The sequence below is a fragment of the Homo sapiens genome, chromosome 8, assembly GCF_000001405.40.
Source record: "Homo sapiens chromosome 8, GRCh38.p14 Primary Assembly".
Taxonomy (NCBI): domain Eukaryota; kingdom Metazoa; phylum Chordata; class Mammalia; order Primates; family Hominidae; genus Homo; species Homo sapiens.
This window is the reverse complement of record NC_000008.11, coordinates 33,635,366-33,660,115: the sequence shown is the minus strand read 5'-3', so window position 1 is coordinate 33,660,115 and position 24,750 is coordinate 33,635,366. Positions and strand designations below refer to the sequence as shown.

The 24,750-nt window shown below is 45.3% G+C and overlaps 1 pseudogene, besides 1 other annotated feature; it reads left to right on the top strand.

The window, feature by feature from the left end:
- Positions 1,337–1,991: an enhancer, noted in NCBI's record as "H3K27ac hESC enhancer chr8:33515643-33516297 (GRCh37/hg19 assembly coordinates)". NCBI's record gives its function as "activates a minimal SCP1, AML or CMV promoter by ChIP-STARR-seq in naive H9 embryonic stem cells {active_cell/tissue: H9 hESC(naive)}" and the evidence as "EXISTENCE:reporter gene assay evidence [ECO:0000049][PMID:30033119]".
- On the top strand, positions 18,177–18,535 carry BUD31P1 (BUD31 homolog pseudogene 1; annotated as a pseudogene).

Here is a 24,750-nt window from a genome sequence, read left to right as displayed (position 1 = left end):
CAACGCCCCCACTGGGGCTCCACTCAGCTCTGAGCTCACAGCTGGAGGTACCCCGCCTGCTCAGCCATGTGGCTGCACTTGGCTTGCTTCAGCCTGTTTGTGTTACAACTTGTTTGGTCTCGCTACCCCACTCCAGCCCCCAGCTCCAGGGCTGGCCCAGCCCTCCCACTGCTTCCTGTCACATGGAGTGACTACCTGGCACTGGTGGAAAACTGGAGCTACAGTGTTATAGCCTTTTTCGTACCCACATGTATTAGTTCATTTTCACACTGCTGATAAAGATATACCTGAGACTGGGCAATTTACAAAAGAAAGAGGTTTAATGGACTTACAGTTCTATGTGGCTGGGGAGGCCTCAGAATCATGGCAGAAAGCGAAAGGCATGTCTCACATGGAGGCAGACAAGAGAAGAGAGCTTGTACAGGGAAACTCCCCTTTATAAAACTATCAGATCTCGTGAGACATTCACTATCATGAGGACAGCATGGGAAAGACCTGCTCCCATGATTCAATTACCTCCCACTAGGTCCCTCCCACAACATTTGGGAATTGTGGGAGCTATATTTCAAGATGAGATTTGGGTTCACAGGTCCTGAGTTCTTGTCCCATGTCCAAGAAGAATGAGATTACACTGACAACTGAAGGGTGAAGAGCAGAGAAGAGTTTTATTGAGTGACGGAACAGCTCTCAGCAGAGAGGGGACTGGAAGTGGGTGGTCCCCCACCTAAAGCAGGTAGATCCCCTCGAAGGTGGGTAGTCCCCCAGTGTGGCTGAGCAGGGGCTTTTATGGATCAGAATGGGGGAGTGCATGCTCACTGGTTTGTAAGTATGCAAAACTGGCTAAAAAAAAAAAAAAGGCACGTCCCTCTCCCTCTCCCTACGGTCTCCCTCTCCCTCTCTTTCCACGGTCTCCCTCTGATGCCGAGCCGAAGCTGGACTGTACTGCTGCCATCTCGGCTCACTGCAACCTCCCTGCCTGATTCTCCTGCCTCAGCCTGCCGAGTGCCTGCGATTGCTGGCGCGCACCCCCACGCCTGACTGGTTTTCGTATTTTTTTGGTGGAGACGGGGTTTCGCTGTGTTGGCCGGGCTGGTCTCCAGCTCCTAACCGCGAGTGATCTGCCAGCCTCGGCCTCCCGAGGTGCCGGGATTGCAGACGGAGTCTGGTTCACTCAGTGCTCAATGGTGCCCAGGCTGGAGTGCAGTGGCGTGATCTCGGCTCGCTACAACGTCCACCTCCCAGCCGCCTGCCTTGGCCTCCCAAAGTGCCGAGAGTGCAGCCTCTGCCTGGCCGCCACCCCGTCTTGGAAGTGAGGAGCGTCTCTGCCTGGCCGCCCATCGTCTGGGACGTGAGGAGCCCCTCTGCCTGGCTGCCCAGTCTGGAAAGTGAGGAGCGTCTCTGCCCGGCCGCCATCCCATCTAGGAAGTGAGGAGCGCCTCTTCCCGGCTACCATCCCATCAAGGAAGTGAGGAGCGTCTCTGCCCGGCCGCCATCCCATCTAGGAAGTGAGGAGCGTCTATGCCCGGCCACCCATCGTCTGAGATGTGGGGAGCGCCTCTGCCCCGCCGCCCCGTCTGGGATGTGAGGAGCGCCTCTGCCCGGCCGTGACCCCGTCTGGGAGGTGAGGAGCGTCTCTGCCCAGCCGCCCCGTCTGAGAAGTGAGGAGCCCCTCCGCCCGGCAGCCACCCCATCTGGGAAGTGAGGAGCGTCTCCGCCCGGCAGCCACCCCGTCCAGGAGGGAGGTGGGGGAGTCAGCCCCCTGCCCGGCCAGCCGCCCCGTCCGGGAGGGAGGTGGGGGGGTCAGCCCCCCGCCCGGCCAGCCGCCCCGTCCGGGAGGGAGGTGGGGGGGTCAGCCCCCCGCCCGGCCAGCCGCCCCGTCCGGGAGGGAGGTGGGGGGGTCAGCCCCCCGCCCGGCCAGCCGCCCCGTCCGGGAGGGAGGTCGGGGGGTCAGCCCCTCACCCGGCCAGCCGCCCCGTCCGGGAGGTGAGGGGTGCCTCTGCCCGGCCGCCCCTACAGGGAAGTGAGGAGCCCCTCTGCCCGGCCACCACCCCATCTGGGAGGTGTACCCAACAGCTCATTGAGAACGGGCCATGATGACAATGGCGGTTTTGTGGAATAGAAAGGGGGGAAAGGTGGGGAAAAGATTGAGAAATCGGATGGTTGCCGTGTCTGTGTAGAAAGAAGTAGACATGGGAGACTTTTCATTTTGTTCTGTACTAAGAAAAATTCTTCTGCCTTGGGATCCTGTTGATCTGTGACCTTACCCCCAACCCTGTGCTCTCTGAAACATGTGCTGTGTCCACTCAGGGTTAAATGGATTAAGGGCGGTGCAAGATGTGCTTTGTTAAACAGATGCTTGAAGGCAGCATGCTCGTTAAGAGTCATCACCACTCCCTAATCTCAAGTACCCAGGGACACAAACACTGCGGAAGGCCACAGGGTCCTCTGCCTAGGAAAACCAGAGACCTTTGTTCACTTGTTTATCTGCTGACCTTCCCTCCACTATTGTCCCATGACCCTGCCAAATCCCCCTCTGTGAGAAACACCCAAGAATGATCAATAAAAAAAAATAAAAAAATTTTAAAAAAAAGGCACCACTCAAAGATGGGCATAACAGTGTAAAAAACCAATTAGGGAAGGGTAGGTATATGCAAAATAGGGGAAGGGTGGCATCAGTCAGAGGAAAGCACACTAAACAGGAAGAGAGGTTCTCCATCCGGCCCATGGATTTATCTGAGACTCGTACCTTGATTTTCAGGCTTTAAACTGTCTTTGGTTTGAAGGTCCAGTTTCACCAGGGACCCACCCCTGCCTGCCTAGGAGCTTGTCTGCCTCCTGCTGCTATCACTATGGTTGTTCATTTGGATATCTGTCAGATTTTATCATAATAATAAATGAAACCTCTATCATTTGCTTCTCACCCACAGTACTTCACTCGGTTCCACTGGGCTAGGCTGGGCTCTACATGTCTTCTCATTTCAGGACCCAAGTCAATGGAGACGCTCCTATCTGAGACATGCATATGCTCATGGCAGACAGCAGCATGCAAGGAGTGACTGCATTTAAAGCAATGGCATTTGAAGCTTCTGTTGTGTGGCATACATCCCATCCACCCACACACCTCTGGTCAAATCAAGTCACAGGACCAAATTCAAAGCCAGTGAAGTGGGTGTAGTCCTGCTTCAGGGAAGCACAGCAGGGGTGGGAAATGGATATATCATTTGAACAAATAATACATTTTATCATCTATTATAATAACTTGGAGTAATTTCAAATGAGATTTTCTAGGCTATTTGGAATAAAGATCTAATTAAAGGCGAAAGCTGAGGAACACCCAGAAGGCACTCTGGTGAAGACTTTTTCAGATTCTGGAAACATAATTACCTTTGCAATATCCAAACGTTTGTTATCTCTAATTAAATACTCACAGTGATCAGTGTATTCATTTACTAGGGCCACCATAACAAGATTCCACAAACTAGGTGCCTTAAATTACACAAGTGTATCATCAACAAATGCTGGTGAGGATGTGGATAAAAGGGAAACCATGTATGCTGTTGGTGGGAATGTAAATTAGTACAACCACTATGGAGAACAGTTTGGAGGTTCCTCAGAAAACTAAAAATAGAGGCTGGGCATGGTGGCTCATGCCTGTACTCCCAGCACTTTAGGGGGCTGAGGTGGGCAGATCACTTGGGGTCAGGAGTTTGAGACCAGCCTGGCCAATATGGTAAAACCCCATGTATTAGTCCATTTTTATGCTGCTGATAAAGGCATACCTGAGACTGGGAAGAAAAGGAGGTGTAATTTGACTTACAATTCCACATGGCTGGGGAGGTCTCATAATCATGTCAGAGGGCAAAAGGCACTTCTTACATGGTGGCAGCAAGAGACAATGAGGAAGATGCACAAGTGGAAACCCCTTATAAACCCATCAGGTCTTGTGAGACTTATTCACTATCATGAGAATAGCACAGGAAAGACCAGCCCTCATGATTCAGTTACCTCCCCCTGGGTCCCTCCCACAACACATGGGAATTCTGGGAAATACAATTGAAGTTGAGATTTGAATGGGGACAAAGCCAAACCATGTGACCCTGTCTCTACTAAAAATACAAAAATTAGCCAGACATGGTGGTGTGTGCCTGTGGTCCCAGCTATTTGGGAGGCTGAGGCAGGACAATCACTTGAATCCAGGAGACAAAGGTTGCAGTGAGCCAAGATTGCACCACTGCACTCCACCCTGGAAGACAGAGAGACTTTGTATCAAAAAAAAAAAAAAAAAAAAACTAAACTAAAACTAGAGCTACCATATGATCCAGCAATCCCACTGCTGGGCATAAACCCCAAAGAAAGGAAATCAGTATATCAAAGAGATAGCTTCACTCCCATGTTTTGTTGCAGCACCATTCACAAAAACCAAGATTTGGAAGCAACCTGAGTCCATCAACAGATGAATGGATAAGAAAATATGGTACTATTCACAATGGAGTACTATACAGCCATTAAAAAGAATGAGATTCTGTCATTTGCCACAACATGGATGGAACTGGAAGTCATTTTCGTAAGTGAAATAAGCCAGGCACAGAAAGACAAACATTGCATGCTCTCACTTATTTGTAGATCAAAACAATTGAACTCATGGGAATAGAGAATAGAAGGATGGTTACTAGAGGCTGGGAAGGGTGGTGGAGGGAATGGGGGTAGGTGGGGACGATTAACAGGTACAAAAGAAAATCGTTAGAAAGGAGGAAAAGACGTAGTATTTGGTAGCACAACAAGAGGACTACAGTCAGTAATAGTTTAATTGTACATTTTAAAATAACTAAAAGTGTATATTTGTATTGTTTGTAATACAAAGGATAAATGCTTGAGGGGATGGACATCCAATTTTCCATGATGTGATTATTATGCATTGCATGCCTGTACCAAAACATCTCATGTATCCCATAAATATATACATCTACTATGTACCTACAAAAAATTTTTTTAAACAAAGAAAAAAAAGTGTATTCTCTCAGAGCTCTGGAGATTAGAAATCCAAGGTCAAGGTGTTAGCATGATTGGTTCCTTTTGAGGGCTCTGAGGGAGGGATCTGTTCTAAGCCTCATTTCTTTTTTTTTTTTTTTTTTTGAGACGGTGTCTCACTCTGTCACCCAGGCTGGAGTGAAGTGGTCAATCTCAGCTCACTGCAACCTTCGCCTCCTGGGTCCAAGGATTCTCATGCCTCAGTCTCCCAAGTAGCTGGGACTACAGGCATGAGCCACCATGCCTGGCTGATTTTTGTATTTTTTTAGTGGAGATGAGCTAGTCTTGAACTTCTAACCTTAAGTGATCCACCCTCCTAAGCCTCCCAAAGTGCTGGGGTTACAGGCATGAGCCACTGCACCTGGCCAATTTTTGTTATATAAAGATATAATCTTTTTTGAGAGACAGGGTCTCACTTTGTCATCCAGGCTAGAGTGCAGTGGTGCCATCAAAACTCACTAGAGCCTCCAACTCCTGAGCGCATGCAATCCTCCTGCTTCAGGCTCCTTAGTAGCTGGGACTACAAGCAGACACCACCACACCTGGCTAATTCTAAAAAATTTTTTTAGAAATGGAGGTTTCACTATGTTGCCCAGGCTGATCTCCAACTCCTGGACTCAAGCAATCTTCCTACCTTAGGCTCCCAAGTCCCTAGGATTACAGGCATGAGCCACTGTATTCAGCCTTAGACATCACTTGTTGGCTTCTCAATGGCTGTCTACATGTTCACATGGCATTCTCCTTGTGTATGTATCTGTGCCCAAATTTTCCCTTTTCATAAAGACACCAGTCATATTGCATTAGTGGCTCTTTTGCGCCAGTATAACCACATCTCAGCTAGTTACATCTGTACTGACCCTATTTCCTGATAAGATCATATTCTGGGATTCTGGGATGCCAAGTGTTGGGACATCAACATATGAACTGGTGGGGGTGGGGTACCTTATTTAACCCATAAAAGTCAACAATAAAACCCTTAAGAGATCTGGCTCTAGCTAGCTGAGTCCTGATGGAAAAACATATATATACATACATATACATACATACATATGACTTGTTTTCAGAGAAAAAACAAAGAATCGTAAAGCTGGGGACACTGTCTCCCACCCCACAGCCTTTCATGTGTAGAAAGGAGAACCATGAACCAAGTCTTTTTAGTGCACAGATGAAACCAGCACACCGAGCACTGGTGGAATGAACAAATTCTGTAACAACACAAATATCTGTAAGGATTCTTTGTCAAGTTGAACTCATTGTCTAAACTGAGTACTTGTAATTTAACTAATCTTCACACAGAGACCAAAAAGATTTTGTGCTGCATATTTCTGCCAAAGTATGCACGAGACTGGTTATCTACAATGAGGAGGCCAGGGCAGGGAGGAGCAGCTCAGCTATGGAGCTGAACAGCCTATTCCTGCTGGTGGCAAGGCCCCTGCTTCAGGGCACCATGAATGGTTTTGCTAGAACTCTGCCAACTTTCAACACCTGCTTTCTTCGACCTTTCTTATTTTAATGAAAGCCACACTCTATCTCGCACCGCAAAGAACAACTTCATTTCCTCCCTTCCCTGTGTGAATCTCTTGCTCTCTAGAAAGGTTACTCCTTTCATAGGCAGACAATGTTAGCTATCAGCTGATGCCTGCTGCCCTTTCCTAAAGTAAATTACCATTGTTCACTTGGATATTATTTACCTCTACTATAGCTCTTTCTCTCTCTCTCTCCTATCCTTTTGATTCTTTTTATTTGCTTTAATCTCCTGTCCTTCTACTGTCTGCCACCCCCACCACCCAGCCTTCTTCCTGCACACACAGGTGCGCGCACACACACACACACACCCCTCTTACCTATAAAGGCTTAACCTGTCAGCTCAGGAAAAGAGGGTGTATTCTTCCACTCTCATGCTGCTAATAAAGACATACCCAAGACTGGGCAATTTATAAAGGAAAGAGGCTTAATTGACTCACAGTTTTGCATGGTTGAGGAAGCCTCAGGAAACTTACAATTGTGGCAGAAGAGGAAGCAAACACATCCTTCTTCACATGGTGGTAGGAGAGACAATGAGAGACGAGCAAAAGGGGAAGCCCCTTATAAAACCATCAGATCTCATGAGAACTCACTCACTATCATGAGAACAGTATGGGGGAAACCACCCCCATGGTTCAATTATCTCCACCTGATCCTGCCCTTGACACATGGGGATTATTAAAATTCAAGAAGAGATTTTGGGTGGGAACACAGCCAAACCATATCATTCCACCACAACCCCTCCCAAATATCATGTCCTCACATTTCAAAAAACAATCATGTCTTTCCAACAGTCCCCCAAAGTCTTATTTCAGCATTAACTCAGAAGTCCACAGTCCAAAGTCTCATCTGAGACAAGGCAAGTCCCTTCTGCCCATGAGCCTATAAAATCAAAATCAAGTTAGTTACCTCCTAGATATAATGGGGGTAGAGGCATTGGGAAAATACACACATTTCAAATGGGAGAAATTGGCCAAAGCAAAGAGGCTACAGGCAAAATCCAATAGGATAATCATTAAACCTTAAAGTTCCAAAATGGTCTCCTTTGGCTCCATGTCTCACATCCAGGTCACACTGATGCAAGAGGTGGGCTCCCACAGCCTTGGGCAGCTCCACTCCTGTGGCTTTGCAGCATACAGCTCCCTTTCCAGCTGCTTTAATGGGCTAGCATTGAGTGTCTGCAGCTTTTCCATGTGCATGGTACAAGCTGTTGGTGGATCTACCATTCTGGGGTCTGGAGGGTGGTGGCCCTCTTCTCACAGCTCCAATAGGCAGTGACCCAGTGGGGAGTCTGTGTGGGGGCTTCAACCCCACATTTCCCTTCCACACTGTCCCAGCAGAGGTTCTCTATGAGGGCTCTGCCCCTGCAGAAAACTTCTGCCTGACCATCTAGGCATTTCCATACATCTTCTGAAATCTAGATGGATGTTGCCAAACCTCAATTATTGACTTCTGTGCACCCACAGGTCCAATACCACGTGTAAGCCCTCAAGCCTTGGGGCTTGCACCCTCTCAAGCAATGGTCTGAGCTCTACATTGGCCCCTTTTAGCCATGGCTGGGATGCAAGGCACCAAGTCCCAAGACTGCACAAAGCAGCAAGGCTTTGAGCCTGGCCCATGAAACCATTTTTTACTCCTAAGCCTCCAAGCCTGTGGTGGGAGGGGCTGCCATGAAGATCTCTGACATGCCCTGGAGACATTTTCTCATTGTCTTGGAGATTCACATTTAGATCCTTGTTACTTATGCAAATTCCTGCAGCCAGGTTGAATTTCTCCTCAGAAAATGGGTTTTTCTTTTTTATTGCATTGTCAGGCTGCAAATTTTCTAGACTTTCATGCTCTGCTTCCCTTTTTGATATAAGTTCCAATTCCAAACCATATCTTTGTGAATACATAAAACTGAATGCTTTTAACAGCACCTAAGTCATCTCTTGAATGCATTGCTGCTTAGAAATTTCTTCCACCAGATACCCTAAATCATCTCTCTCAAGTTCAAAGTTCCACAGATCTCTAGAGCAGGGGCAAAATACCACCAGTCTCTTTGCTAAAACTTAGCAAGAGTTGCCTTTATTCCAATTCCCAACAAGTTCCTCATCTCCGTCTGAGACCACCTCAGCCTGGACTTCATTGTCCATATCACTATCAACATTTTGATCAAAGCCATTCAGTAAGTCTCTAGGAAGTTCCAAACTTTCCCTCATTTTCCTGTATTCTTCTGAGCCCTCCAAACTGTTCCATCCTCCGCCTGTTACCCAGTTCCAAACTCCCTTCCACATTTTTGGTTGTCTTTACAGCAGCACCCCACTTCTGGTACCAATTTACTGTATCAGTCTGTTCTCACACTGCCACAAAGACATACCCAAGACTGGGTAATTTATAAAGGAAAGAGGTTTAATTGACTCCCAATTCAGCATGGCTCAGAGACCTCAGAAAATTTACAATCATGTTGGAAGGGGAAGCAAACACATCTTTCACATGGTGAAAGCAAGAAGTGCAGAGTGAAGGGGCAGAAAAGCCCCTTATAAAACCATCAGAACTTGTGAGAACTCACTTACTATCATGAGAACAGCATGGAGGTAACTGCCCCCATGATTCAATTACCTCCCACCAGGTTCCTTCCACAACACATGAGGATTATGGGAAATACAATTCAAGATGAGATTTGGGTGGGGACACAGCCAAACCATATCAGAGGGGGATGCTGCATACAGCTTTTGTGTTTCCATAAAAAGTGATAAATGGCACTTTGGAAGGCCAAGGCAGGTGGATCACAAGGTCAGGAGATTGAGACCATCCTGGCTAATACGGTGAAACCCCATCTCTACTAAAAATACAAAATATTAGCTGGGTGTGGTGGCAGGCGCCTGTAGTCCCAGCTACTCATGAGGCTGAGGCAGGAGAATGGCATGAACCCGGGAGGCAGAGCTTGCAGTGAGCCAAGATCATGCCACTGCACTCCAGCCTGGGCAACAGAGCGAGACCCCATCTCAAAAAAAAAAAAAAAAACAGAACAGTGATAAATGGGTCAGGCATGGTGGCTCCCACCTGTAATCCCAGCACTGTGGGAGGCCAAGGTGGGAGGATCACTTGAGGCCAGGAGTTCAAGACTAGCCTGGGCAAGATAGCAAGATCTCATCTCTACAAAAAGTGAAAAAAAGTAGCCAGGCATGGTGGTGCACACCTGTTGCCCCAGCTACTCAGGAGGTTGAGGCAGGAGGATCGCTTAAGCCTAGGAGTTTGGGGATGGGGTGAGCTATGATTACATTATTGCATTCCAGCCTAGGTGACAGAGCAAGATCCCATTGCAAAAAAAAAATAAAAAAAAAAAATTAAGCAATAAACTAATGGTAATAGACACTATTGAACATTTCAAGCCCTACCTCAAAGCAGAGATCAAGTAAAGATACCTTCTCCCATCAAACCTAGCCCCACAATACTGCCATAACCACAGCCACAGGCAGAATCTTAGACTGGGTATGCCTGGAAGGCTTAAACTAGGGAACAACCACAGGTCCTATTCAAGTTCCTTGCAGCAAAGCTAAGCTGCTGGCCCAGTGGTGTTCTCTGGTATTCCCTGGGCTAGTACATTAAGAAAGCACCTTGAACATAAACTTGGACTATGAGGGGTTGTATAGACAGCAAGACCTAGCAGATGCCTCCTGCACCCAGGGGTGACTGGCTGGCTCAAAGCCTGATTAAATATGATACAGGTGGCTCAGGTGGGAGATGAGGCTATGATGGACCCACCTGCACTCCTATAGTGCAGGCCTTCATCTGACTCCACATCCACATAAACCTTGTAAAGCAAAAATAAAGCCCCAGGCCCCCAGGTGAGACAGGACAGACACTGTAATAACGTGATACCAAATTATAAAGATCTAAGGCCATGCCAGAAAAGGATTAAGTCATGCACCCCCTACACTTAAAGAGTAAACTATGTTTTAACTGCCACAAGGTTTTCTTCTTTTTCTCTAGCAGACAAACAAGAATTGGCCTCCAGATACACAGTATTAAAGCAATTGCAGCTCACTGACCAACTTACCCCTGTTCCACCAGCCATAACCAAAGCTTTGATTTGACGAAAGACTGGGTTCATTTTCTCCTGACAAAAGACCACCGACCATGAACTGGTTCTGGCCAGTTTACAGAGGCTGAGCACTGAGTGCTTCGTATCCCTGCTTCACTTTCTACTAATAATATATAGAGCCTAACTTTACTGCATTTAAAAGTTGTCTCTATCTGCCATGCATAGTGGTTCATGCCTGTAATCCCAGCATTTTGGGAGGCCAAGGAGGGAGGGTCACTTGAACCCTGGAGTTTGAGACCAGCGTGGGCAACATAGCAAGACCCCATCTCTATTCGAAAAAAAGAAATAAATGTTGTCACCACCACAAAGTGAACATGGGTGGTATACAATATACATCTTTATTCACTACACATGCATTAGGACCCCCTTCATGAATATTCATAGCTCCTCCTATAATCCGTTGAATATGTATACTTGGCCAACCCCTTCAGCATAATATTCCTGTTTCATCCTTCCTCCCTCAAAGTGCTTGCTTTTGGTCTCTTACAGAGGCTTCACTTCCCAGCCTACAGCATGGCCAACCTTCAAGCTATAACCTTTTATAAGAAATAAAGTCTCTTCTCAAAATGTATGAATTTCCTGCATGATTCTTCAGTTAACAAGCCTGAGTCAAGACATCAAGGGTTCCTTTCCAGGGCTGTCCTCTGACAAATTCTGGAAGGAGGTAAATATTATCTTTGGTATTTCCCCCATAACCATTGCTCAAAATCATCTTAGGGACCCAGAAAATGCTTATTCCAATCAGACAAAACTAACATCCAGCTGGGCCTGTTCATTTCGGTGTCCTACAGAATCACAAGCATAAGCTGTCCCAAACTAAACCGACTCCCATCCTCCCAACATGATCACACCAGCTTCCACCCACCCAGTGTGCAAGCACCAGGCTGTTCCCTCACACCTCATACTCCATGGATCCCTCCCAATTTTTTCTACTGTGTTCCTCCTCCACCTCACTACCTTTCTCAGGCCTTCCTTGTTGCTCATTTAGATAGGATAAGCCCCTAAGATAGGATTAGGGGGTGCCGGGGCAGGTGCTTGACCCAGGAAAACCTGTGCTCAAATCCAAGTCCTTCCACTAACTTACCAAGTAGTTTTGAAAAAGGTAATGAACTTGTTAGTTTCCTCACATTTATAATACCTCTTTTGAAAGATTGTGGTAGGATTTAATGATGCAATCCATGTAGAGATGTTTGTCAATTTGATTTTTTTTTTTTTTTAAGAGAGAGGGTCCCACTGTGTTTCCCAGGCTGGTCTCAAACTACTTGGCTCAAGTGACCCTCTTGCCTCAGCCTCCTGAATAGCTGGGACTATGGGCGTGCATCACTGCACCTGGCAATCCCCTTTTCTTCATTCAGTTCCAGTGCCCTTTACATTGTATTCTGTATGAACAGTGCCCCTCTGGAGTTCAGCAACTCTGTGGCCCTGACCCATAAATGTGCTGTAATCCTACCACATTGGGAAGCTGAGGCCAGTGGATCACTTGAGGTCAGGAGGTTGAGACCAGCCTGGCCAACACGGTGAAACATCGTTATCTACTAAAAACACATAAAATAGCCAGGCATGGTGGCATAAGCCTGTAATCCCAGCTACTCTGGAGGCTGAGGCAGGAGAATTGCTTGAACCCAGGAGGCGGAGGTTACAGTGAGCAGAGATTGTGCCACTGCACTCCTGCCTGGGCAAAAGAATATAGAATCACAGAATCTTTCCAAAGATTTATTAAATTTATTAAAATTATTTTATCATTTTACTTACTCTATGATAGTAAGGTGATTTTATGTATATTCTGGGGTTTTTTTTGAGATGGAGTCTTGCTCTGTCGCCCAGGCCAGAGTGCAATGGTGCAATCTCAGCTCACTACAACCTCTGCCTCCCGGGTTCAAGCGATTCTTCTGCCTCAGCCTCCCGAGTAGCTGCAACTACAGGCGTGCACCACCACAACCAGCTAATTTTTTATATTTTAGTAGAGATGGGGTTTTGCCATGTTGGTCAGGCTGGTCTTAAACTCCTGGCCTCAAGTGATCCACCCACCTCTGCCTCCCAAAGTGCTGGGATTACAGGTGTGAGCCACTGAACCCAGCCAAGAATATTATTTAGGATTATTTATCTTGAAAAATTATATTAACAACTTTACTTTAATATAATCTTAATGACCTATGTTCATTTATTCCAGGGGTCCCCAATCCTCTGGCCACAGACCAGTACCAGTCCATGGCCAGTTAGGAACTGGGCTGCACAGCAGGAGGTGAGTGGAGGGCAAGTGAGCATTACCACCTGAGCCCCGCCTCCTGTCAGACCAGCAGCAGCATTAGGTTCTCATAGGAGCACGAACCCTATTGTGAACTGCACACATGGGATCTAGGTTGTATGCGCCTTATGAGAATCTAATGCCTGATGATCTGAGGTGGAACAGTTTCATCCCTCCCTACCCCACCCTCCCATCCATGGAAAAATTGTCTCCCATGAAACCCATCCCTGGTGCCAAAAAGGTTGGAGGCCACTGTTTATTCAACAAATACGGTTTGAGGCCTTTTATGTAGCAAATACTGCTCCCTTGGCTTGTCCTCATTTAATTCCTGACATGTTGTTTAATTTAAGTCACTTATGTGTAAAAAATATTTTTGTTGACAAACATAAATTCCAAACTGGTATCATATCCCATATGGTTTCAAGACTGAATTCATATCAAATTATCTATTCAAGTTAAACCTATGTTATGCCATCAAATCTAGAAAAAAACCACTTTTACTCCCTAAACTTTGAATTCATGCATTTTACATTAAATTGTAAATGGCTGGGTGCGGCGGCTCACGCCTGTAATTCCAGCACTTTGGAAGGCTGAGGCAAGCGGACCACGAGGTCAGGAGATCAAGACCATCCTGGCTAACACGGTGAAACCCCATCTCTACTAAAAATACAAAAAATTACCCGGGTGTGGTGGTGGGTGCCTATAGTCCCAGCTACTTGGGAGGCTGAGGCAGGAGAATGGTGTGAACCCGGGAGGCAGAGCTTGCAGTGAGCCAAGATCATGCCACTGCACTCCAGCCTGGGCAACAGAGGGAGACTCCATCTCAAAAAAAAAAAAATATTGTAAAATGGTTCTAGTATTCATGTTTTATTCCTTTTTTTTTTTTTTTTTTTTTTTTTTGAGATGGAATCTTGTTCTTTTGCCCAGGCTGGAGTGCAGTGGCACGATCTCAGCTCACTGAAACCTCCACCTCCTGGGTTCAAGCAATTCTCCTGCCTCAGTCTCCAGAGCATCTGGGATTACAGGCTTATGCCACCACGCCCGGCTATTTTATGTGTTTTTAGTAGATACGAGGTTTCACCATGTTGGCCAGGCTGGTCTCAAACTCCTGACCTCAAGTGATCCACCTGCCTCAGCTTTCCAATGTGCTGGGATTACAGGTGTGAGCCACTGCACCTGGCCTCCAATACTGAGTGTGTTTTCAATGAGTGCTTTATGATTCTGCCACTTGGCTGATGAGTTACAATTCAGCTGAACATCATTAGCTATCATGGTGATCTTTATAACCTTTTGATTTTTACTCTCAATTATCATTTAATATATTCCAGTAATGTAACATTGGTTGAAAAAAGGAAATATAAGAAACAGAAATGAAAACAGTAAGTTTGGAGAGTAAGGTGAAAATATTTCTGCAAATTCCTTTCAAATAGATCTTTCTCATAGGTTTGAGTTACCTTCTGCTTATGCAATGCTTTAGGAACTCATTGAATATCTCTGCCTAAAATATAGGTTAAACAAAAATATAGTGGTTGCATCTTCATTAAATCGGAGTGAATGCTATCCATATCAAAAATGTTTTACTTGCAGTAAAGTACTTGCAAATATCAGCTTTAAACTTCTCATCTTGTCAGTTATAAATACAACATACAGGCTGGGTGTGGTGGCTCGTGCCTGCAATCTCGGCACTTTGGGAGGCCGAGGTGTGTGGATCACCTGAGGTCAGGAGTTTGAGACCAGCCTAACATGGTAAAACCCCCATATCTATTAAAAATACAAAAATCAGCCAAGTGCAGTGGCACACACCTTCCCAGCTACTCAGGAAGCTGAGGCAGGAGAATCACTTGAACCCAGGAGGCAGAGGTTGCAATGAGCCAAGATTGTACCACTGCACTCCAGCCTGGGCAACAGAGCAAGACTCCATCTCAAAAAAAAAAAAAAAAAGAAAAGAAATAAAACACACAAATACTAAAACAAACTATTTTATAATTTAATGTATAATGCATGAATTCAAAAGTTTACAGCGTAAAGGCAGTTTTTTTCTAGATTTGATGGCATAACATAGGTTTAACTTGAATATTTTTATATTAATTTAGTCTTCAAACCATATGGGATACAATGCCAGTTTGGAATTTATGTTTGTCAACAAAAATATATTTTACACATAAGTGACTTAAGATAAATTTAAAAACATGTCAAGAATTAAATGAGGATAAGCTAAGGGAGCAGTATTTGCTATATATAAAGGCCTCAAACCACATTTGTTGAATAAACAGTGGCCCCCAACTTTTTCGGCACCAGGGACGGGTTTCATGGGAGACAATTCTTCCATGGATGGGAGGGTAGGGTAGGGAGGGATGAAACTGTTCCACCTCAGATCATCAGGCATTAGATTCTCATAAGGAGCATACAACCTAGATCCCTCACATGTGCAGTTCACAATAGGGTTCGTGATCCTATGAGAATCTAATGCTGCCACTGGTCTGACAGAAGGTGGAGCTCAGGTGGTAATGCTCACTTGCCCTCCGCTCACCTCCTGCTGTGTAGCCCAGTTTCTAACTGGCCATGGACTGGTACTGGTCTGTGGCCAGGTGGTTGGGGACTCCTGGAATAAATGAACATATATTGTTAAGATTATATTAAACTTTATAATACAATTTTTTTTTTTGAGACAGAGTTTTGCTCTTGTTGCCCAGGCTGGGTACAGTGGTGTGATCTTGGCTCACTGCAACTTCCATCTCCCAGATTCAAGCAATTCTCCTGCCTCAGCCTCCAAGCAGCTGGGATTACAGGCGCACACCACCACTCTAGGCTAATTTTTGTATTTAGTAGAGACAGGGTTTCACCATGTTGGCCAGGCTGGTATCAAACTCCTGATCTCACGTGATACACCCGCCTTGGCCTTTCAAAGTGCTGGGATGACAGGTGTGAGCCACCATGCCTGGCTTATAATACAATTTTTCAAGATAAATAAATCTAAAATAATATTGGCTGGGCACAGTGGCTCACACCTGTAATCCCAGCACTTTGGGAGGTGGAGGCAGGTGGATTACTTGAGGCCAGGAGTTCAAGACCAGCCTGGCTAACATGGTGAAACCCCATCTCTACTAAAAACACAAAAAAATTAGCTGGGTGTGGTGGCGCACACCTATAGTCCCAGCTACTCAGGAGGCTGAGGCAAAAGAATCACTTGAACCCAGGAGGCAGAGGTTGCAGTGAGCCAAGATCATGCTACTGCACTCCAGTCTGGGCTACAGAGCAAGACTCCATCTCAAAAAAAAATAAAAAAATCTTTCTACGTAAAATCACCTATTATCATAGAGTAAGTAAAATGATAAAACAATTTTAATAAATCTTCAGAAAGATTCTGTGATTTTTTTTTTTTTTTTTTTTTTGAGACAGGGTCTCATTCTCATTATCCAGGCTGGAGTGCAGTGGCACAATCTCGGCTCACTTCAACCTCCACCTCCTGGACTCAAGCAATTCTCCTGCCTCAGCCTCCCAAGTAGCTGGGACTATAGGCGAGCACCACCACGCCCGGCTAATTTTTGTATTTTTAGTGAAGACAGGGTTTCAGTATGTTGGACAAGGTGGTCTAGAACTCCTAACCTCAGGTGATCTGCCTGCTTTGGCCTCCCAAAGAGCTGGAATTACAGGCATGAGCCACCATGCCCGATCAGATTCTGTGATTCTATATTATTTTTTAAGAGTCAGGACCACAGGGTTGCTGGACTCCAGAGAGGCACTGTTCATACAGAATATAATGTAAAGGGCACTGGAACTGAATGAAGTCAAGGAGATTTCCAGGTGCAGCAGTGCACACCCGTAGTCCCAGCTAGTCAGGAGTCTGAGGCAGGAGGGTCACTCCAGCCAAGTAGTTTGAGACCAACCTGGGAAACACAGTGAGACCCTGTCTCTAATAAAAAAAAATATATAAAAACTAAAAAAATCAAAGGGTCTCGCTCTGTCTGGAGTGCAGTGGTGTAGTCATAGCTCAGTGCATCCTCAAATTCCTGAGATCAAGCAATCCTCCCTCCTCAGCCTCCCAAGTAACTGGGATTATAGGCACACACCACCACTCCTGGCCAGTTTTTGTTTTGTTGTGTTGTGTTTTGTTTTGTTTTTGTGGAGATGGGGCCTTGCTATGCTGCCCAGAGTAATCTCCAACTCCTGGGCTTGAGCAATTCTCCTGCCTCGGCCTCCCAAAGCACAGGGATTACAGTTGTGAGCCACCACACTCCACCATGAATATCTTTAGAAGGACCATTTTGAGCCTACCAAAAGGGCCCTCACATACATAGGCTCCTCTCCATAACTAGGAGAGAAGGTTGCCAGAAGCTTCCACTACAGACAGCACCTGCCAGGTCAAAACTGTGGAGGAATTAGAGAAGGAGCTCTACCAATGAGGGCTCTGAAGCCAAGCAGAGCTTTTTTTTTTTTTTTTTTTTTTTTGTGAGACAGAGTCTCACTCTGTCGCCCAGGCTGGAGTGCAGTGGCACAATGTCTCAGCTCACTGCAACTTTCGCCTCCTAGATTAAAGCAATTCTCCTGCCTCAGCCTTCCAAGTAGCTGGGACTACAGGCACACACCACCACACCCGGCTAATTTTTTTGTATTTCTAGTAGAGAAGGGGTTTAGCCATGTTGGCAAGGCTGATCTCGAACTCCTGACCTCAAGTGATCTACCCACCTTTGGCTCCCAAAATGCTGGGATTACAGGCGTGAGCCACCGCGCCTGGCCCCAAGCAGAACTCTTCTAAACCATCAACCATGGAGAGCTCACTAGGATCACCTGTGCTAGAGGAAACGCTGAATTCATTTTCTATACATTATGCAGAAGATGACATCACTCTTGCCGTATAAAGAAGTGCTTCACCTATCAAGAACCAATCTTGTGAAAACATTTTCGGTCTGTCCTTTAGTTAAATTTATAAACATATTTATAGCCTGGAATTGTGACTGATTCGATTGCAGCTTTGTGATGATTTGGGCACGCTGACTCTTGTTCTCAGGATGGTCTGTAGCACACCTTCTCCCAGTTGTCCAATCAAACCCTAGTTGAGGTGCGGCTTTAAGGGGATTTGGCAGACGTAAACAAAGCCCAAAATCCTTGAGTTAATCATGAGAGATAAGGTGTGGGTTGGGCTGACCCAAGCAAGTGGAAACTGTTTAAATAGCCCATGGGAACTCCCTGAGGTTTAGAGATACAGACAGCAAAGGAGAGAGGATCCTCAAAATGACTTATCCATGTCAAACCCTCCAGACTCAGCTCAATGCAAACATCCTACACATGGCAAATGAAAAAGAAAAAAAAAGTCAGAAAATGCCCTGTGATAATTGGTAGCCAATTGAGGCAACATTGGATGAGTTGGATCAGAAGATGAAGCTGAGAGAGAACTTCAGGAAGAAAAGAGGCCAGGGGAGTGTCTCTGGCCCACCTTCAGGATTCCTCATTGGAAATCCTGCTACATCTTAGAGATGTTTCATTAGCAGAAAGCCATCAGCAGAGAACTGTGTGCGTATTATCTGAAAGAAGATTATGCAGATCCAAACCTGACTGCCAAGTGGAAAAGAGACAGTTACAAGGCTTTGTGCTGCCTGTGGTGTGTTCAGACTCAGGATACCAACTTTGGAACCAACTGCATCTGCCAGGTTGTCTAGGGCACCCTTGACATAAGTGACTTCATCTTAGAAAAATACTTTATTTTACATTTCAAAAGGCATTATGCCAACAGGACCAGATGTTTGCCTAATCAATGGAGACAACACCCAACTAGATAAGGGCATATGACCCTTTATTATCAGCCCTCATCCGAGGACTCAAGGGTGATAAGATGAGCCGGACTTCACCAGCCAGCCCTAGCCATCTTGAGAGACCCCGTCTTGCTGGTGCTTGTGATCGACACCTGGCATCTGCCACCCAAGGCTGTGCTCAAATCAAAAACTCTTCCTGCAAGACATTGACAACTGTCTGGATCAGCCCAGGACATCTTCCTTGTCCACATAGCTCTCCCTGGACTGGTTCATTAACCCTTATTCCTATCCCCTTTTCTCTTGATGTTAAATCTTGTTTGATGTGTAATGTTTAATCTATAACGTTTACATATCGATTAAGTATACTGTTAAGAATGGTCTGCAATATTGACTGACTTGTGGAGTGGCTTGAACCTGTGTGCCCATGGCTCTGACTGAGTGAGCAGGTGGTATTTAGGAGAATTGCCTGTGTAGCTTGTGGCTTTTATGATTAAAACAGCATCAGTAAAAGTCTAACCTTGTGGAAAGACTCAAACATACATGGACTTGGTTCTGCCTGTCCTTGCACTGCTCATGATCCGGGTCCCCCAAAGCCAGTGGGAAGCCGGAAGCATGGTGGAGAGGGTGCCCTGTGGCCACAAAAGCTGTTCCTCCAGTGGCCACTCTGGCCCCACTCCCACTTCACCCTGGACTTTGAACTTCCATGATGTCTGGGTCTCCCCAAGCCTCTGGGTCCCTAAAAGTGATCTATGTTGAAGACATCCAGAACTGAGTATGTCATGGTCACCTCCCAAAACACCCCCAGCCCTTCCCAGTAGCAAGGCTGGAACTCTGCTGCCTCTGAACCAGATCTGGAACTTTGATCCCAATTACATTTGAGAGACAAGGGAATATCAGTTCTGTATCCTCAGAAAACCTTTGCCTCCCCAAACCCAAGGTCATGAAAGTAAAATTTGAAAGTAAACAAGAATTTAAAAAAAAAAAAAAAAAAAAAAAACAGATAAATAGTCTCCAGAGAGAAGATATTGACTCCTGCTCCGTTAGGGTCCTTCAAGACCCAGTAAATGCCCAGTTAAAGGGTGGAGAAATGGAACCTTGTGCTTTAACGTTCTTTCCACCAGGTGGCGTGTGCTGAGCCTTTGGGAAAAAAAAAATCTTTGAAAAAAAGATATTGCTTGAGTGGCTTGTATTTCCTTCCCAGCACAAATAGAAACTTTGCTTTCTAGGAATGTGAGGCTTATCCCAGGAGAAAGAAAATCAAATTCAGGTCCAAAAATATGGAAAATTTTCTTTTTTTCTGTTTTTTCCCCAGGCTTCTGCCTTTTTGCTCTCAGGAATTACCGCTGCTGAACTGGAAGTAGAGATTGTCCCTGGCCCTTCCTCATCAGTAAGTGGTTGTTAAGCATTTCAGTGATGTCACCTGTTTTCTTTATGTACTAAGTGTGGAAGTATTTGTGGTATGGGGGGAATAGTGTTTGTTTTTAACAGGTGAAAGGTTACTGTTGTTTTATGGTTTTTTGTCTTTAAGGTAAGGTCTCTGTCCCCCAGGCAGGAGTCCAGTGGGGCAACCATAGCTCACTGTAACCTCGAGCTCCTGGGCTCAAGCAATCCTCCCTCCTCAGCCTCCCAAGTAGCTGAGACTACAGGCACACACCACAACACCAGGCTAATTTTTTAATTTTTTGTAGAAACAGGAGTCTTGCTATGTTTCCCAGGCTGGTCTTAAACTCCTGGGCTCAAGCAATCCTCACATCTTGGCCTCCCAAAGCACTGAGATTACAGGTATGAGGCACCATGCCCACCCCAAAAGGTTACTCTTTTTCATGAGCCGGAAATATCATTCAGGCTTGAAACAGAAGGGCTTCCCCAGAATGTTATTTTTACCTTGCCATGTAAAAATAACATTAAAACTGCCTTACGTTATAAGATGTGTAACAATTTACAAAACAAGGTGTAGTAGAAAGGATATTGGAGTCACAAGTCCTGGATTTTCACCTTGGCTCCAACTCTTAGATTTGTAAGATTTTGGTCAAGTTACAATCCGTTTCAATATCCCTAAAGTGGTGATGCTAATAGTTATTTGGAAAACCAAGTGAGAAAATGTACGTGAGATCCCAAGCCCTAAGATGCTCAGCATTACTAGTCATTAGGAAAATGCAAATCAAAACCACAATGAGATACCACTAAACACCCATTAGGAGGGTTACTAACAGAAAACAAATAAAAAAGGAAAAAAAATGTTGGAAAATAAATGTTTGCAAAGAAGTAGGAAAAAATGAAACCCTTGTGCATTGCCGGTGAGAGTGTAAAATCATGCAGCTGCTATGAGAAAGTTTGGTGGTTCCTCAAAAAGCTAAACATAGACTATGTTCTAGCACTTCTGCTCCTAAGTATATACCTAAAGGACTTGAAAGAAGAGGTCCAAGCAGATAATTTGTACAACCAAGTCCATAGCAGCATTATTCACAATAGCCAAGATAGAAACAACCCAAGTATTCATCAACAGATGAATGGATAAAATGTGACATATCCATACAATGGAATACTATTCATCTATGAAAAGGAGTAAAGTTCTGATACATGATCAACACGGAAACCTTGAGAACACTATGCTAAGTAAAATAAGCCAGACGCAAAAGGACAAATATAGTATGATTCCACTTCTGTGAGCTACTTAGAATAGGCAAATTCACAGAGACAGTAAGCAGATTAGAGGTTACCAGAGGCTGGGGGGATGGGGTGAGAATAGGAAGTTATTATTTAATGCTTACAAAGTTTCTGTTCAGTATAATAAATTTTTGCAAATAGATGATGGTGGTTGCATAGCATAATGAATGTAATTAATTTCACTGAATTGTATACTTTAAAATGGTAAAAATAGGCCAGGCATGATGGTGCATGCCTGTAATCTCAGCACTTTGGCAGACCGAGGCAGGCAGATCACTTGAGGTCAGGAGTTCGAGACCAGCCTGGCCAACATGGCAAAACCTTGTCGCCACTAAAATACAAAAATTACTGAGTGTGGTGGTGCACACCTGTAATCTCAGCTACTCCAGAAGCTGAGGCATGAGAATCGTTTGAACCCAGGAGGTAGAGGTTACTGCACTCCAGCCTGGGTGACACAGCAAGACCCTGTCTCAAAAAATAAATAAATAAAATGGTAAAAACGGTAAATACTGTGTATATTTTATCGCAATAAAAAATACAAAAAAAGTGATTGAGTGGATTTAGACCAATATTGCATTCAAGATCAACTACAGATTTGGGAATGATATTTTTCTAACTGACTATATTTGGTGATTAAACTTCATTTTCTAAGAAATTAAGGTTTCAAGGCCTGGCACATTTGCATTCAACTCATGTGCTGAGGCTTCTTCTGGCCCATGTTATCCTTCGAGGCACAGAAGCATCATCAACAAAATCCTGCTGTCCCTGCACGACATTCTCTTGGAGCCACTTCTCGGTGCAGATTACTGCTTAGTCTTAGAAAGGATAGGCACAGAAAGAATGTAGTGAGGGAATGAATCGGAGGAGAACACTCAGTGAGCACCCTCAATGCCAAGTCATTTGTGTGTGTTCTTGGTCCCTCCTTTAAGCCCAGATTCTACTCTCTGCATTCTTCTTGATGCCTTGATCAGAATTAATTTCTTTACATCTGATATTTCAAGGCTTTTTATGGCATTTCTGCAATCTACCCCATGTAGGCTTACATATGCATGCAGCTCATTTAGCATGAGGACCTAAAGGCAAGAACCTTTCTCTTTCCCTTTCCCTTCCTCCTTTCATCACCCAACTCTTACTCCCACCCATCTGCCACACCCTTAGAAAATGTTTGCCATGACTACTGCATGTCCAAGCTCTATCAAATCTGACAGCAGAATGGTTTTGCCAATTATTTTTTCTCACAAATAATTGCCTTTTATCTATTTTATTTACTGCAAACTCAGTTGTTATCAACTCCTACCTACCCCCAAGACATCCACTCGTCACCACTACAAAACCTCAAGTATAAGCACACGCTGACAAATCCTGAAAAGGGTAAGATGTAAATGGCACCAAAGACTGAAAATAGCCTGGAACCAGGCTTTAATGCAACACAGCAACTGGCTTTGTTCACCATATTAAAAAGGGTTAACAGGCCGGGTGCGGTGACTCATGCCTGTAATCCCAACAGTTTGGGAGGCCAAGGCGGGTGGATCACTTGAGGCCAGGAGTTCGAGACCAGCCTGGCCAACATGGTGAAGCCCCATCTCTACTAAAAATACAAAAATTAGCCAGGCATGGTGGCGGGAGCCTGTAGTCTCAGCTACTTGGGAGGCTGAGGCAGGAGAATCACTCAAACCCAGGAGACAGAGGTTGCAGTGAGCTGAGGTCGGGCCACTGCACTCCAGCCTGGGCAATAGACTCTGCCTCAAAAAAAAGAAAAAAGAAAAAAAAAAGGATTAATAACATGTAATCCTTGTCCCTCAAGGAGCTAAACATCTCTGTACAAGAATTCTTCACTAAAAACTGCTCCCTATTGCAGAATACTTTCTTCATAGCACAAGATTAAGTCAAGAAGGAACCATTATTTATACACATTCCACATATCTCATTTAATTTTTACACCAACCCAGTGAAGTCCTTCTCAGTCTGGCTTCTGTTGACCTCTTAGCCTCTCTCATCCATCTAACCCAGCACTCCATTTTCCAACCATACAAAGCTACCTCCAGTCCCTGAACGTACCAGCTAACTCTCCTCTCCAATCTTCTTTTTTTTTTTTTTTTTTTTTTTTTTGAGACGGAGTCTCACCATGTTGCCCAGGCTGGAGTACAGTGGCATGATCTCAGCTCACTGCAACCTCTGCCTCCCCGGTTCAAGCCATTCTCCTGCCTCAGCCTCCCAAGTGGCTGGGACTACAGGTGCGCGCCACCACCTCCAGCTAATTTTTTGTATTTTTAGTAGAGACGGGGTTTCACCATGTTGGCCAGCCTGGTCTCCAACTCCTGACCTCAGGTGATCTGCTCACCTTGGCCTCCCAAAGTGCGGGGATTACAGGCGTGAGCCACTGCGCCCAGCCCTCCAATCTTCTATAAATGGTGTTTTTTTCTGCAAGGACCCCTGCCTACTCCCAACATTCTTCTAGCTACCATCTACTTATCTTTCAGACATTATCTCAGAAGTCCTTCCCTCTTGAAAACTTTCCATGCCAGCTTCATGCTGCCAAGACTGAATTAACTACCGGACCTTCAGGATACCCTGGGACCAACTATCCCTCTGGGGGCATTACCCAGGCTCTTAAAATGTAAGGGTGTGTTAACTTGTCTGTTTTCTCTACTGGACTGAGCAGTCCATAAGGGAAGGGGCCATTTGTGTACCCAGAACTTCATTAATTATCTGACGCATGATCAACATTCGACAAATATCTGTTCAACGGCCATGATCAGTATTATTTTCCTGTATTTTAGACATGAGGAAGCTGGAACTAAGGAAGTCTAAGAATGTGACCACAGCTGGCATGGTGGCTCACGACTATAATCCCAGCACTTTGGGAGGCCAAGGCGGGCACACTGCCTTAGCTCAGGAGTTCAAGACCAGCCTGGGCAACATGATGAAACCCTGTCTCTACTAAAAATACAAAAAAATAGCCGAGTGTGGTGGGGCACACCTGTACTCCCAGCTACTTGGGAGGCTGAGGCACGAGAATCTCTTGAACCCAGGAAGCAGAGGTTACAGTGAGCCAACATTACACCACTGCACTCCAGCCTGGGTAACCAAGCAAGAGTTTGTCTCCAAAACAAAACAAAACAAAGTGTCCAGAGACACAGAGCTTACAAGCAGAACACCTAGATTTGAGCCCAGTTCCTTCCGGCTCAAGAGTTCAAAATATAAGTGAATCCCTTTACCAAAGTGTGTGAGAATTTCATCAATGATTATTCAAAATGTCCCATTGGAGTCATCAGTTCTTCCTTTATTTTACCATAATATTCCACCAAAATTCACCCTCACTATCCAGTGAAAACCCTTACAGATCAAGCTGGGCGAGATGACTCATGCCGGTAATCCCAGCACGTTGGGAGGCTGAGGTGGGCGATCACCTGAGGTCAGGAGTTCAAGACCAGCATGGCCAACATGGT